This window comes from Homo sapiens, chromosome 2 (assembly GCF_000001405.40).
Source record: "Homo sapiens chromosome 2, GRCh38.p14 Primary Assembly".
Taxonomy (NCBI): Eukaryota; Metazoa; Chordata; class Mammalia; order Primates; family Hominidae; genus Homo; species Homo sapiens.
The window spans coordinates 180898557-180915787 of NC_000002.12; the positions used below are offsets into that span (position 1 = coordinate 180898557).

Here is a 17231-nt window from a genome sequence, read left to right on the forward strand (position 1 = left end):
CTGAAAAAAACCATCACAATGGTAATTTTCCAACCATGAGAAAAGAACAATATGAAAATACTCTACTGAAAATTGATGAAATTGAAGAGAAAGGCCATTATGAAAGTAAAACTTCCAAATAAAATGCTTTCTTTCTTTAATCAGTAATCTTCTTGAATGTATCATATACAGTTAGAATCATTGCTTAGGCATCTACCAGGGCATTAGCGATATCTGTGAATTCTCTTTTAGGTGTAAATTGTTGTTAAAGTGAGGAAAAGAGATCAAATGTTTGTTTCACTCCAATATGATAAAAATTCAATATTCAGTTTTAGAACTGACGATCACAGAGTTAGTATTAGCTAATCATACCATCACATGCGCAGAGCTCTACTGTTCTATAGTAGTCCACCCTTGTCAAACTCTTTAAAAATTCCCTGTTGGCATTGTGGCATGATTGATAATGCCAGGAGGGAGTTTTTAAAGAGTTTGACAAGTAATTTATAATTTGAGGTAAGTTTTAGTTAATTTATACCCATATATACACTAAAATAAATTTGCAACTCTCCATTTATTTAACAAAGATTTATTAAGCTCCTTTTATGTGTTAGTCATTTCTCTATTCCCAGACATTCAATTCAACCAGATAAATGTGGAGCAGGGAAGACAGAATTAAACAAATAATTATAAACTTCCAGTCAGCCATGACAGATTGAACACAATAGTGTATCTCTGCTCCCTCTTGAAAGGCCACTAAAATGACAGTAAAAAATACACAAACTCACCAAGATAAAGAAAATAGGAGAGAACATACAACAGATAGAAAAAGTCAACAAAATTGAGAAAAATGGAAAATAGATGGCTAATTGGCCATTAGCTTAGGTTTCAGCCTTCTCCCCTCTGTTGAGTGCTTAGGTAGGGAGGAGAGGCAGATGCTGGGGGAAGTGAAAGGGAGTGATGAGAAGATAAACCAATTGGTACCTCAGAATTCCACAAAAAGCCTGGGTAAGGCACTAGCTATCTCTGATATCAGACATGTAAGGTGAAACTGAAGGAAATTAGATTTATTTAAAATCTGTATAAAAAATAATTAGACTTCTCTACTCTACTCTAGCCAAGTGGTTTAATTTCTGGAGATGGTGAACCCAAGAGGCTCTGCTGGGAGACAACAAAAATAATGAAGGTAATGGATGAAATCCTGTATGCTCAATGTAAAAATACTTAGCTCCTTTCACTTTAGCTGCCAGAACACTTGTGGTTTTATATTCCATCAGATGGGAAGCTTCTCTTCTCTGAAGAATCTGGAAAGTATATGAGAAAGGTGAGGTTGCCAAAGAAATGGTTTGTCTCATCCAGTCCCTCACAGTGAGTCCCAACAGTTGGAAAATTCCACCAGTGAATGCAAAAATTTCAATTTGTCTTGTAGTGTCTCACTTTTAAATATGAATGAATGGCCAAAAATCACCAGATACAAGTAGAGGGAATTTCACTTCAAAGACAAGGCCAAAGCAAGGAAATAAGCAAATGAAAATGAACCATGCAGGGACTTGAAGAAAATTTGAAGCAACTATAAAAAATCTCTTCAGAGACACAGCATTTACAAAACAAGAATAGAATGCTTTTTTTTTTTTTTTTTTTTTTTGAGATGGAGTCAGGGGTGCAATCTCAGCTCACTGCAACCTCTACCTTCCAGGTTCAAGTGATTCTCCTGCCTTGGCCTCCCGAGTAGTTGGGATTGCAGTCACCCGCCACCAAGCCTGGCTAATTTTTCTATTTTTAGTAGAGATGGGATTTCACCATGTTGGCCAGGTTGGTCTTGAACTACTGACCTCAGGGGACCCACCTGCCTCAGCCTCCCAAAGTGTTGAGATTACAGGTGTGAGCCACCGCACCTGGCCCAGAATGCTACTTTTAAAACAAGTCGAGTAGTATTCAGAAAACAAAAAAGGGCCCTTGAAAATTAAAAATAAGATAATAGTATTTCTCAACCTTGGAAGATAAAGTTTAATAAATTACCCATAAAGTAAAACAAACAAAAAACAAAGGGCACAAAGACAAAGAAAATATTACAAGAAATATGTTTAAACAAAAGAACCATTTCAGAAGATACAAGATGTCTAATAGGAATTCCAGAACAAAAGAACAGAATTAATAAAAGAACAGAAATAAGGGGAAACAAGCTTAACAATGAAAGAATATCAGAAATTTCCCCAGAATTGAATGAAGTACATGAGTTTTCAGATTGAAAGAGCTCAAAGAGTTTTCAATTCAATTAATTAAAACTGACCCACAACAAGATCCTCAATATTAAATTGTAAAACACCAGGAATAAAAGAGATCATAAGAAGAAACCACATGACAGAGAAAAAGCAAACATTTTAAAAGATCACACATAAATAATAAAAAATTAGAATGATATAATTCTCAAGACAATAATGGAGCATTGTCTTTTAAATTCATCTTCAACATGATGGATATGCTAATTACCCTGATTTGATCACCAGACATTACATGTTTCAAAACATCACTATATACCCCATGAATATGCACAATTAATGACCATTAAAAATAATTTTTTAAAAAGTTGAAGTACAAAGACTTTTGTGTATTTTCTTCACATCAGCAATGTATGCTACGTAATTTGCTTAAATATAAAATAGAAATAAGCCTCTCTTAAAAAAATAGTTATCCGCAACCTATAGTGTATACTCAACAAAACTATCAAGCAAAGGTGAAAGTAGGATAAAAAGTTCAGACATTCATTGACTCAGCGATTGATTACAGAGATGCACCCATTCTCAGGAAAGTACTGGAGAACAAGCTCCAGCGAAACGAAGGGTAAAAGCTGAGAAAAAGGAAGGCATGCAATCCAAGATATGCAGAATTAACACTAGAGAACAGCAAGTTTCAGGGCAATGGAGAAGAGAAGTCCCACGATGACAGTTGTGCCCCAGGTATAGAGAACAAGCAGTTCAGATCAAAGAAAGACAGGGGGCACCAAGACAGATGTCAAATGTTCCTAAGTGGGGAGAAAAGTATTGCTGAAAGATAATGGGATATGCCTTACCATACCGAGAGGCATTTTACATAAAGTTTTGGGATGAATTAGAAATAGGTACAAAAGTGATAAACCAACCACATTTTAGAAGTAAAAGCAAATAACTTATCTCAAGAAAAATAGTAGTAAAAAGGTAAAAGAAATGTAACCAAAATACACTCTGTATCTCAGCAGTAAAGATTATTATGAGAATGGCGTATACTAAAGGTTATCTAAACAAATGACTATTTTTCAAATTGGCTAGCTGGGAAATGGTAGTGGGGAATATGGAGGAGTGAGTAGAAGAGATGTAAATCTTAATTTGTTATAACTGAAAGTCAGTAAGTAATGACTACAGTTTAAAAATTCATGAAATTGCAGGATAAGCCCTTTGAGAGTCATGGGACAAGGCACTACTATTTCCTTGTAAATAATACAGCACTATTCGACTTTTAAAACCACATGTAAATATTTTTAAATAAAAATTAAAAGAGTATATGCTAATATAATTATAATAAATATGAAGGAGAAATATTAGAAATCTTGAGCGATTGCTTAAACTAGCTTTAAGTTGATCCAAGTAATACATTACTTTTCTGTTTTAGCTTGGTTCCCTTTGAGGTGAAAATTGTGTGAAAGAGCTTTGGGAGGGAGAGTTTATGGGAACAACAGTAACAAGAGAGTAAAGGAGTCAAGCCTGGACAAAGGAAAAAAATAAACTAAGAAGCAATTGTAGTGAATAACTTGCAAGTAGTCTTGGTACTAAGCTAGACCTCCAGAGATGCCCCAGATAAAACAAGGGGCCAGGGCTTTAACTCCATTGACCAGTCACTGGATGCCAAAGAGGAAGTGTAGCATTGGACATAACATTATGGCAGCTTCCTTTGAAAGAAGAATTCCACTCTGAGCCATTAGCCAACAGTCTTAGCTGCTGAAAATGAGTGCCTAGATTCTGATGGGGGGATTTGGAAGGTAGGCAGGAATATTTACCAAAACCCTTCTGTTATTCACAGATCAAGTTGCAGAGTTTTATTTGTCAATTTTGGGAAATTTAAAAGCTTTTTCATATTTAAAAAAATACAAATTAAAAACACATTTTGAGATAGTAGATAACTTCCAGAGATGGACTACAATTGTTCATTTTCTCCGTAGTGCTACTAAAAGCATACTGGTAACAGTACTTCTGTAAGCTAATCATAAAACGGAATAAAATTTCTCTTGGAAAATGCATTCAGAGTTCCACCCTTGAATGCATGGGGGGGCATGTCTTTTTTACAATAGCCATTTGCCACAGGAGTGGGAAATTCCACTTTTCCTGATGGATATCTATGGGAGCTGCTCCTCCAAAGTCCTGGAAGTAAGAATGTGACAAAATAGGGGAAATAAAGGAGAGAAAAGAGGATTGTAAGCCATCAGCAGTGCAAAGTTTTCCACCCCTCCTTCTCCTAACTTTCCTGCTTCACCCAAGTAGCAACTGTAAGTTCTTCCAATAACTACCATCACCTGGGTGAGCTAAGAAGTGGGAAGAGAAGACAATGCCATCAAGTCAGCTTACGTCGTGTGCTGGGCAACATTTAAATGGAAAAGGATAAAAGAGGAGAAACTCTAAAGTCAGCCAAAACAGAGGGAAGTTCTTAACGCAGGAACAGAAAACAGCAAATACTGTATGTTCTCACTCATAAGTGGGAGCTAAATGATAAGAACTTAAGAACACAAAGAAGAAAACAACAGACCCTGGGGTCTGCTTGAGGTGGGAGGGTGGGAGGAGGGAGAGGAGCAGGAAAGATAACTACTGAGTACTGAGCTTAATACCTGGGTGATGTAATAATATGTACAACAAACCCCTGTGACATGCATTTATGTAACAAAAGTTCACATGAACTCCTAAATCTAAAATAAAAATTGAAAAAAGAGAGGGAAGTTCTTGACTCTACCAAGCTGAACCCATGTTTATGAGAGATATTTATTGCGTTTTAGCATGTAGTTAGTGAGAGTATAATATGTGGCTGACATTATATAAGATGCGAGGAAGGATGCAAGAATAAATCTACTGGATTCAGATATTTGAGCAGGTAGTTAAAATATTGGTGATTGCCTGTGGTAGGAAAACTGAACTTACTCTAACCTCACTAAAGAATGTTGAAGGACGTGACTACTTATGTGTACTGGATACACTGTCAGGGGCAGCCTTCAGAGGTACTGATAAAAAATTGAAAAGAACAAAATCTCAGAGTAAGCCTGACAGAGAACTATGAAAGAAAGAATGTAAGAGTATGCTCCATGTAACTACTGATGCAAATTCAATATCTGCTGACTGTTAAAAGTAGAATGATAACAACTATAGCTTTAATTCCATATAAACAGAGCTGAAAACCCACTATATGTTTGTAGCCACTTGCTGGCTACCTGCATGCATTTGGGGTATTTGGTTTGTTCAACAATAAAATCAGCTAATTCAAAATTTATGAACTGGCATGTTCCTTTGGGTCTTCCCCCCCCCCCCAGTGCTGTATCTTTATAGGTATAACTGAACAATAAGAAAATGTATATGCACACTACTTCAAAATATCAAGGACTTTTCATCAATATTCAACTAGGAAATTCATTCTTCAACATTTAGAACTCCCTTAAGCAGTATAAATCCAATTTTTAGCAAAATGCTATTTCCAACGTGTTTTAAATAGAAAGCAAAATATGTTCTGAATTATCTTAGAATCAAAGGGCATTTAAAAATATTTATTCAATAAACTATAACACTATGTCCTGAGTATATAAAATCAAGCAATTAGATATTAAAAATAAACATGCTTAAGATGTATTTTATGTTTAATGGTCCAAAACATTCAAAATGCCTGACTTCAGAGCATCTCTAGAGTTAACAATAGTCCATATAAGTCAAGTTTCCTTCTTCCAAAATCATAGCTTTGCCTTTTGTTTAATCTGATTCCAATATTTTGCCCTGTCACATTTTCTGCCATTTCAAGACAGGTTTTTGATGGGTTTATCATGGTTATTTTATTTTGGTCACAAATCATCAATAATTCATTTTCAGTTGATTTATCTTATTTATAAAGTGTCACATCAACTATTACCAAAGTTTAGTATTTGAATTCTGATAGCTCTAGTAAATAAAACACTATCTGCCATAGAAGAATTGCTGAGTTCTCATTGGAAGAATTCTCTTTTGATCTAATTGTCTAAATGCAAGGCCTTTAGACAAGCTCAAATTATAAGAAACTGTTCTTACCCTGAGACAAGTTACATGTATCTCATACTTTGATATTTCAGTATGTAAACAGTACACAATTGTTTCTCTTTGTTTTATCATATACACTTCATGTATCTGATCATGTATGGTTCAAATACTTATACAAATATCATGCTGCAAAGCAGAGTCTTCCTCTAAAAAGATGCTTTAAAAATATGTGTGTAATTGCATGCAATTGTTTATAAAATGACCGTCGTGTCAAGGAGGAAAATGCATATCCATTTTGATACCAGTTGAGTATTATACTCTCAGTTATATCAACAGGAGTCTTGTGTTTTGTTACCTAGTAAGAGGCAGGTGGTCTAGCATCCACCCCCTTGAACAACTGGCAGCTTAGTTTACATTTGGCTGAGCAGCTGCTTCCTCCTACTTGAACTAGCATTGCATCACAAAGCACAGTTGTCACTTGTATAACTTGCAACACACTAAGACGAGACCTTATTTCCACGCTCAAGTTATCTGCTTTGTTCACTTTTAGTACCATTTGGAGTTTCATCCAGTTCAAATATTTTTCTTTAACAATACCTAGTATTGTTAAAAATACTTAAGCTTTTCTAAACATTGTTAATATGATGACACTTTAATTCTTTTGTATGTTGTTACAGATAATTTAGAACTCTCAAACTTTGAGTTTGACCTCTATAAAGACACTAAAAAGGTTTACTGAGAATGAATAAACCAAACACTATGCATTGAGAACTATATACTGCTTACTTAAGGGGTAAACATAATGCAATAAGTTTCAAAAACTAAACAGTATTTTCCTAGTATTAATTGATTGATCCATCCCTTCTCCTCATGATACAGTGAAATCCTTAGCCACCTGGGAAATGCTTAGATCTGTGATGAGCTCATACTGACATCTGCTTTCATTGCCTGCTGGATCCCATTCCTGTCTGCTTCAGTATGATCAACTCTTTGTTATCAGGGCTTCTGATAATAAAGGAAGAAATTGTCTAACTGTCTTTCTCTATCTGCTTCATGTCTACTCTTTTAGTACACATTATTCATCAACTGCATTTCTAAGAAGAACAATATTGTGGTAATTTGTTGGAAGTTGTTTGCATAAGCAAACCTCTATACTCTTTGAAAAAAGGTACATTCCCTTCATTCATTCCATTTTTAAGCCTTGACCTACATGGATGATAACTGAGTAAAATGGCTACTGCAGTTGCCAACTTCCTGGGGATGACCCTGCTATGTTGACAATTTTGTATAGATATTTTTGTAAGGTTTAATATAGCAGCTGGAGGAGTTTTCTATCTCACTCTAGCTTTTGGCAAGATAAGAACAGAATAGCTTCCAGGCTTGATATAACATGTTTTAAAGTCTCCCTTATTGTTTATAAGCTTTTGACTTTGGAATCCTCCGGTTTAGACCCTTACACATTACCTTCTGCATCCCAATCCAAGCTCAGGTACCCAAGGTGGTTTTACTATTTAACCTTTTGGTAATGGCTTTCCCAAAGGCTGCCTATGCAGAAGCAGAACAATTCTAAAATTGTTTAGACCATGATATTAGCCAAAGTGATGGTTAATTTTATTTGGCCTTTTGATAACTCGTTAACTACTATAGTCATGTTTGCTAACACATATTAAAAAATCCATTTGATCAAAATTTGATTATTGGACCAAAATTTATTGCTAGATGAGAACCTAGTTAAACTACCCATGTTTGTCCTAAAAAAAAACAAAGGAGAAAAGCATAAAAATAATTTATTTCATTGTCTCCTTTTTTCTCTTACATAAAAATCAACTGGCTGTCAATCAAGTCAAAGACTGGAAACTTTCTAAGGAAAAAGAAGCATTTGCAAACTGAAATGAAGCACAAATCACTTCAATAGCTTAGATTTGTGCTTTGAAAGTGTCAAACTAAACTAATCACTGTAGGAATTGATGGAGTATTAGCTCTGGATTTCAAGTTATTATAATTTTTCAATGTCTGTCTCACATTTTTGGCTATCTGTCAGATATAATTTCCTTGGAAATCCCATCCTCAGCGTTGGTTCTCTGTTTAGAGCCTCAGGGGAACTGCTATAAAAATGAATTAGTCCCATGAAAACAGACTATTTATGGGTGTTTTCTGCATGGTATTTGGACTATAGAATAGACATTCTGTAACCTTGACTTGACAGGAGTACAAAGTGGTAGATGCACAGTGTTGGAGAAGGCAGTGAATATAAACCTACAGAGATGATTCCGCATTGTTCCACCCATCCCAACCCCAACTCAAACATTGAGAGGGAAACATGGCTACTATTTTCAGATTACAAGAAAAATAAATTTACTGCCTGCTCGTTTGGAGATCTATAACCTTTATACTTAGACAGTTTTTTAAAAAGTATAACAGCAATTATTTCTCCCAATTTATTTAATGCCGTTTTTTCATTGCATCCATTAAAATATTTTACTTTTATAAGCAATGATACCAGGAAGTTATCGTTTGAATAGTCTGCTGGAGGAGTAGGGCAAAGTAGTTAAGATCAATTGTTCTTTCAGAAGGCTGCTGCTTTCTAGCTGCATGACTTTGGGTACGTTATTTAACCACTAAACTTCAGTTCTCCTGTAAATTGGAAAAAAAAAAAAAAGACAATGCTGAATTCAAATAACTGAGGATAAATGAGGTAAAGCATATTGAGACTTATTATAGTTCATTATTATTGCTTTATACAAATATGAATTCTACAATGTGTACCTTCTGGTAAAAGTTGTGATGCCCTATTTTATTTTTTAAAGGTTTTCTTAAATTTATGTAAACTTCCAATATCATAAGTTGACAACATGCCAGTTGGCCCTCAGATCTGTTTATTTATTGAATGACTGCTCTCTGGTTTATAAAACAGATATGTTGGAGGTTACAGTCTAGTAGAGACAGATAATAAACAAATATATATACATGAAATGTGAAGAAAATAACCATGGTACAGTGTATTTCTTTAAAGGGTAATTACCCATCATAAATGGTCCAAGAAAGATTCCCTAGAGAATTAGCATTTAAGTTAAGAGCTGAACGATGGTGGTGTCAGCCATGTGACTCATGGAATAAGAGGGTTTTATGCAGCATGGTTAGGTATTGGTCAGAAGTCAGACAGGAAATGGTTAAGCAGGAATGCTCCTGAGTTATTGCTTCTACAGAAAGGATGTCTAATGGTGTTATACTGGAAGTAACACAGTACTGAACACTTTAAAAAAAAATGAGTTGTATTGCAGCTTCCAGCCAGAAAGTTACTTTTCTTGCCAAAAAGGACAATTATAAACTGTAACCCTCTCTAGAGATGAGTGGAGAAGGCTGGGGTTGGAGGTGACTCAGTTAAAAGGACCTGCAGGGTGATCGGAGCTAGTCACCTGCATTTTACAGAACATTTCAAAGGCAAGCAAAGCTTCAGGTTCAATCTGTTAAAGGTCAAACTTTTAGTGTACAGAGCTGGAGAATGAGCTGAAACAACGAAACATCAAGCAGGGCAGCCTGCAAGAGCAAAAATACTATGAAATGCACAGAAAAGGAACTGAAGAACTTGGACAATTGAGAAGAAAAAATGTTTGACATACCCAGAGCACAGAATGTACTCTTGTCTGCAATAATTATCACCCATTTGTAAGAAGGAACTGGAAGCTAATGTCATTAATTCAACAAATATTTATTGTATTACATCCCCGTACAAAGTAAACAAGGAAACAAAGATATTTACCCTCAAGGAACTTACATTGGGGTTGGGAGGGGGTGGGAGAGTACAGGGAAAACAGATTTGCATTGTGTTAAACATAATAAATAAGTAAATGACACAGTGTGTTAGAAAATACTTAGTGCTCTGGAAAAAAAGAAAAGTTGAGTAAGAAGGGGAAGACAAGGCTGGGAGAAGGTAGAAGAGACAGTTTGCAATATTAAATGGTTGTTCAAGCCAGGCCTGCCTCATTGAAAGGGTGAAATCTTCCTTCACTGGAAGGAAGTGAGAGAATTAGTCAAGCAGCTATCTGAGGAAAGAACATTCCAAGTAAAGAATATACAGCCCATACATTGTTGGATGTGTGTACATTGAAATTTTTGTGCAGTAAAATGAATATTTCATTTACCTATATAATTTTACATAAAATAAAATATATTTTGAATGTGAGTTTGTTCCAAACAAATCATTTTCTTGCCTTCAAAACCACTGAGCTTAAAGAACTCTTTCAAGTGTCATTAGAGATAGATTCCAACTACAATCAACATTGTGGAATCCAGAGGAGGCAAAATGAAGGAAGCAGCACTCATTACAAAATGCTGCTTTGTAAAGAATTAATTCTGTCCTGGTATGTTTCACATTAGGTAATATGAAGGAAATGAATATGTCATGAACCCTCCTTGAGGATGTGGGGGAATTAAAAGTAATTTCGCTTAATATCCAACTCTCACTTTTGGCTTTGTAGTCAGAGGGAAACAATGCTTTCCCAGGTTCTAAGGTAAACGTTAAAAGGTTACAAGGAGACTTGGAAGAGTCAAGGAACGCTTCCACCAACTATTCCTGCCATTCCAGTTGGGAGGGTTGTCTGAGGGGAAGTGAAAAATAGTTTATTACTTACTATATTTTTGGTACAAGATCTGTTATATTTTTCTAGATTAAAAACAATTCAGTGAACACTGATCCTTTAAAAAAAAGAACTCGAGGTTTATAAAATGCCTCTAAGGTGGGGGAGTGGGTTAGTGGTAAGAAAAGCAAAACTGTGATGCAATTGTTGAAAAAGCCAATTATTAAGGCATCATTCATGGAACTATAATACCTGATCCTAAAAGTAATATATCCATTATACTTTGCCTCAGTTCTATATGTCTAACTCATCAAGTTAATTTCTGAGAGCTGCATTTCTTAAAAGAGATGTTAAAGGTCAGGAGATCGAGACTATCCTGGCTAACACAGTGAAACCCCGTCTCTACTAAAAATACGAAAAAAAAAAAAATAGCCAGGTGTGGTGGCACACGCCTGTAGTCCCAGCTACTCGGGAGGCTGAGGTAGGAGAATCACTTGAACCTGGGAGGCAGAGGTTGCAGTGAGCTGTGATCGCGCCACTGCACTCCGTCCTGGGTGACAGAGCAAGACGCCGTCTCAAAAAAAAAAAAAAAAAAAAAAAAAAGTATAGTGAGGTTATAGGAGTATGAGTCCAATAATGTTGGGGTACAGAAACTTTACCATATGAGGAATAGTTAACAGAGACAATACAGAGCCTTCAAATATTTGGGGGGCTGTCATAAAAGTTACCAGAGAAGGTTTTAGCACATTCCATATGACAAAATGAGGACTAATGGCAGGCAGTTAAGAAAAACCGATTTGGGCCGGGCGCGGTGGCTCACGTCTGTAATCCCAGCACTTTGGGAGGCCGAGGCTGGTGGATCATGAGCTCAGGAGATCGAGACCATCCTGGCTAACATGGTGAAACCCCGTCTCTACTAAAAATACAAAAAAAAAAAAAAAAAAAAAATTAGCCAGGCATGGTGGCAGGTGCCTGTAGTCCCAGCTACTCGGGAGGCTGAGACAGGAGAATGGCGTGAACCCGGGAGGCGGAGCTTGCAGTGAGCCGAGATCGCGCCACTGCACTCCAGCCTGGGCCACAGAGCAAGACTCGGTCAAAAAAAAAAAAAAAAAAAAAAAAAAGAAGAAGAAGAAAAAGAAAAAAGAAGAAACAGATTTGGAGACAGGGTAAGAAAAACATTCTTAAAATTAGAAATTTCTAGACAAGAAAGTGGCTCATCAGCTAGTGAACTAACCCCTGATTGTAGGAAATATTCAAGCAGAAGGTAGAGGGTGAACTATAGTCACAGTTCCAATATACACTGGAAGCCTAGATAAGATGACCTCTGAAGAATTTTTCTGTGTGCACATTGTTTTATTTTATGATGTATATAAACAAACAAAAGCTAATAAAATCTCCTGTTTTGAATCATACATATTACATAAGAGCGTAAATTTAGGAAACTTGAATGGCACTTTTGTTGATATTATCATTCAAGCTATCATGTGCCAAATTAAAAGTGCTAGAAATGAGATAATACTGCTTAGTGACAGAACTTTTTAAATAGTAGTACTAGTTATTAATGTATTACCTCTCATCTCCACATGCAACCTTTTGGTCCTTTTTTTTGATAACGGGAGCTGGGCTATGCAGACCACACACCTCTGCCAGCTGGTGAAAAGAACCTAAGCAGTCTTAGGTTCTTGCAATAGAGGGTGCTAGAGAGAGACTGCAAGGCTGGAAGAGGAAGAAGGGATTTTCTACTCTTCCCAGTGTTCTATTTTTCACGCCATGGTGAGCAAATCAGTGTGCCAGGGGTCCCAGAGGGCTTACCCAAATAGCAGCAACTCTCCCAGTTCTGCCGCAGTGAAAGGCCTCCATCCGCTTTCCTCCCCAATCCAGCGCCGGGCAGCATGTTCCTGCAGTAGCTGTCCCTCTCATAAGAATCTTATAGGTTTGTGAGAGATCCTTGCTTCTGTTTCTAAGTCCCTTCCGTTTTCACTTTTCCCTAAGTGCTAGGGGTAGCAGCATTTTTTTTTTCAGTTGCTACTTCTAAATACCTTAGAGTTCTTACCATTTTTAATAGTTAACCATCCTATACCTAATGGATAACTAAGATATTTACGTTTTTGTGCTCAACTTAATGTTGTGGTTCCCGCCCCCAGAGTGACTGTACCCTGACTAATATAAGACTTGACATCAAACCTAAAGGCCAAGAATGAAAACCAATTCAAAGTCTCTTATTTTTTGTTTCTACTAAAACTCTCATACAACAAATAAGATTATTCTCTTTCCCCTGATTTTGTGATTATTTCTGGGATGGTGGTTGAGTAGAAATATGTTTTAAGCATGTTCCCCTGGATACCAGTCCTGTTCTGACAGAAGTACTTGACAAGTATCACGTATATTCATAGTTTTACTACAGCTTGCCTGATTGTAGCCCGAAAGGACTGCTTAGAAATATTTAAAGCCCTTTATTTGTGGAAGGCAGAAGCTTGACATGGTAATCATTTATGTAAAATCTCATGATAAAAAAGAAATTAACACATGTCATGCTACCTTCTTTGGTGTCCAATTTAACTATGCCCAGTGATTATGAAAAAAGATGCTAAAACTTGGGGTCTATTTTAAATCTACATATCAAACAATACATTATGAATGTGGCATCAAGATATTGTATATTCATGTTTGTTTGAGTATAATTGTGTATAATGTCCACTCACCTCTACAGATCTCAGTAGACTCTGGGTATTTTGACCTGACCCAAGTTACATAAAACAAGATGACAATCACGAGAAATAAAGACTAGGATAGAAGAGATCAAAATATTAAGTCAAATGTTCATCATCTCTCCTCTTTTCTGCCTGTGAAAGACACTTCTAATTGGTCCACCACACTTTTTCATTATGTCAACTCAGAGTGGTGGTGCTAGAGGTACTGGTATAGACATAGAAGTAAGGAAGCTAGATAACTGGAGTGATCTTGCCCTACAATAGAAAAGAATTGTAGGGGGCTAAGAAGGAAAAGAAATAAAAGGACCTATAGTTGTTAACAGAGGGAACAAGCAAGTGGGAGAAGGGGAGAAGTAAGGATTGACACAGAAGAGCCAAGGAGAATCTGACACAGGAGAGGTAGAGAGTCTCTTGGTGGGGGCGGGTGGGGGAAGAGTATATGTGACTGCAGTAAAGATGTGGATCTTGGAGGAAGATATGTAGAGATAAATTTAATATGATTTTCTGTGAGATGTCTGTTTAACAGCCCCCTTAGGTCCCCCAATAAACTTTAACAAAGTTTTCCATTGCTTTTCAAGACATTTTTTGTTTTAATTAATGTGGCAAGTGTGTTTGTTTTGGACATGGCAGGATAGAAGAGGCAAACCTCAAAAGGGCCCAGTTATATTCAGGACCCAATCAAAAAGGAGAAAAAGCATTCCCAGACTATGGTATACCTTTAAACTACATTATTTCATTACATATCTATTTTCCACTTAAAAAATATGCACCTTGAAAAAGGAGCAAATATTACTGCTCTTTACAGTTATAATTGTGTTCCCTTCTTCCCATCCCAGATTTCATATTATAATTTAAGTGTATCCGCTACTGTTTAGTAAAAGATGGCAAAATAGTGCTATACATAATAGTTTAACCTATTCAGGTTATTGTCTGGGTTATAGCATATACCACACATGTTTCTGTTATGTTAAATTATAATTATAGTGTTTGGTGACATTATTTACATGGTTAAGATTCTATTCTTCAACACAACAAATGTTAAATTAAAAGGAAACATAGCAGGCACACATTAACTAATATATTTCTTGCTTCATAGCAGCATTTTTTTTTAATTTCTGGAACAAATATGTAATACCTGCTTGGAAGTTAGCGGACTAGATAATGGTATACATCTGCCAACTGTTGAATAGGCAAGAATAATCTAAATTGGCAAGGCAGAATTGGTGAGAATAATTACAGAAAGAGTGTGTGATACCTTGGAAACTGAGGTCTTTCTCTTTTGTGTATAAGAAAACTGTACAAGACCTTTTGAAAGCCTTCATTTTTGTTATACACAACTACTGTCTCTGAGTTTTGTGAGTTCCATTTCAATTAAAAAAGGAGTAGTTATATGAGACCAGCCCTCCCACAGAAAACAATGAGAGATTTTGGACAAACACACATATATATGTGTGTGTGTGTGTGTGTGTGTGTGTGTGTGTGTGTGCATGTGCACATGCATGTGTGTGTTTGTGTGTGTATTTTAACTTTTAAGTTCAGGGGTACATGTGCAGTTTTGTTACATAGGTAAACGTGTCATGGGGGTTTGTTGTACAGATTATTTCATCGCCCAGGTATTAAACCTAGTAACCATTAGTTATTTTTCCTGATCCTCTCCCTCCTTTCATCCTCCGCCCTCCAATAGGCCCCAGTGTGTGTTGTTCCCCTGTATGTGTCCATGTGTTCTCATCATTTAGCTCTCACTTGTAAGTGAGAACATGTGGTATTTGTGTTTCTGTTCCTGTATTAGTTTGCTAAGGACAATGGCTTCCAACTCTGTCCATGTCCCTGCAAAGGACATGATCTCATTCTTTTTTATGTCTGCATATTATTCCATGGTGTGTATGTACCATATTTTCTTTATCATTGATGGACATTTAGGTTGATTCCATGTCTTTACTATTGTAAATAGTGCTTCAATGAGCATAGACATGCGTATGTCTTTATAATAGAATGATTTACATTCCTTTGGGTATATACCCTGTAATGGAATAGTAGAAAATTAAAACTGGACCCCTCCTTTACCTCATATACAAAATCAACCTCAAGATGGATTAAAGACTTAAATGCGAAACCCAAAACTATAAAAACGCTGGAAGACAACCAAGGCAATAGCATTCAGGACGGAGGCACAGGCAAAGATTTCATGACAAAGATGCCAAAAGCGATTGCAACAAAAGCAAAAAGTGACAAATGAGATGTAGTTAAACTAAAGAGCTTCTGCACCATAAAAGAAACTGTCAACAGAGTAAACAGACAACTTACAGAATGGGAGAAAATTTTTGCATGCAATGCATCTGACATCTAGTATCTAATATCCAGCGTATATAAAAATTTAAACAGATTTTACAAAAAAAATCAACCCAATTGAAAAGTAGACAAAGGACATGAACAGACACTTTTCAAAATCAGACATACATGTGGCCAACAATCATACGAATAAAAGCTCAACATCACTGATCGTTAGAGAAATGCAAATCAAAACCACAGTAAGATATCATTTCACACCAGTCCAAATGGCTATTATTAAAAAGTAAAAACATAACAGATGCTGGTGAGGTTGTGGACAAAAAGGAACGCTTGTACACCGTTGACGGGAGTGTAAATTAGTTCAACCATTGTGGAAATATATATAATTTTAATTACCAGGCCTGCAAATAGAGTGAGGCAAAGGAAGCACATCAGGCACAAAATTTAAAGGGATGAAAAAAAAAAAAACTCAGTAATCCAGATAAATAAATTTTGAGTGCAATATTTTAGAAAATCAAAATGAGTACCCTAAAGAACCATGATGAACATGGAATCAAAATGTAAATAAGAAATAAAATCAGTATGACTGATTTTTTTTCTTTTACTCCTGTTGCTAATATAGCTCAGCACAGCACTGTTACTGATTATTCCTTATTTAAAATGTTGATATTTTTCTCATCATGGACTTTTTACATTAACTTTGTAAATGAGAATTAAAATAAAGAAATTTTTCTGGCTTCTGCAAAGGAGATAGGTGCTCAGCGAGTGGCGTAGATAAGTGATGCAAAATATGAGTTGGTATTATCCACCCTTCCAAACTAATCAATTATTCTACCAAATGTCAGAAATATGTATGTGAATGTTATCATTTCAACAGTGCTGAACACATCCCAGCCATTAATGCTAGGTATCAGCTTCATTTTCATCTATTTGCTTAGCATTTGGTGCTTAATGTAGTGTAGTCTACAGCAACTCTAGTCTGGAACACTACAGAACAAATTGACAATTTGAACCAAAACTGCTGCAAAGGAAATAATGATCTAGTGCACCACTGTGGAAAGTCTCCAAAACAGTGGAGGGGAAAATCTTTTCGATATAGCCTCTCTTTCAGATAATTTGAATGCACTTTGACAGAACTTGATAATGAACGTGGGTGGTACACTCAGAGATGCTCTGCCAGAATTCCTTCAAGGAAGTACTTACTGCCCAGCCATGGGGAGGACAGTCAGGAGGCAACCCAGCGATCAGCAACTTCAGGGTCCACCTCAGCTGTAAGGAGCCACCTCTCCAGAGATCTCACCCTTCTCAAGGCAGACTGCAGCTGCTGACTAAGCAAGGCAGTGTTTGAAAGGCCCCATCACTCTAAAGCACAATATTCCCTTCATTGCTCCTGCTGAATTGGTCAAAGATTTGTTGGCCTGCATTCCAGTTCAACTTTTTTC

The 17231-nt window shown here is 36.3% G+C and overlaps 1 long non-coding RNA gene across 7 annotated transcripts in view; it reads left to right on the forward strand.

Annotated features, from left to right (window-relative positions):
• The window catches only part of SCHLAP1 (SWI/SNF complex antagonist associated with prostate cancer 1), a 224836-nt gene that overhangs the window by 206453 nt on the left and 1152 nt on the right, over positions 1–17231 (forward strand). For 4 of the 7 annotated variants that reach the window (NR_104322.1, NR_104325.1, NR_104323.1 and 1 more), the window contains one exon: positions 1094–1162. The exons of the other annotated variants lie outside the window; for them this stretch is intronic. This is a non-coding gene — a long non-coding RNA (SWI/SNF complex antagonist associated with prostate cancer 1). The remainder of the gene's footprint in view (positions 1–1093; positions 1163–17231) is intronic. 7 annotated transcript variants of the gene reach the window in all.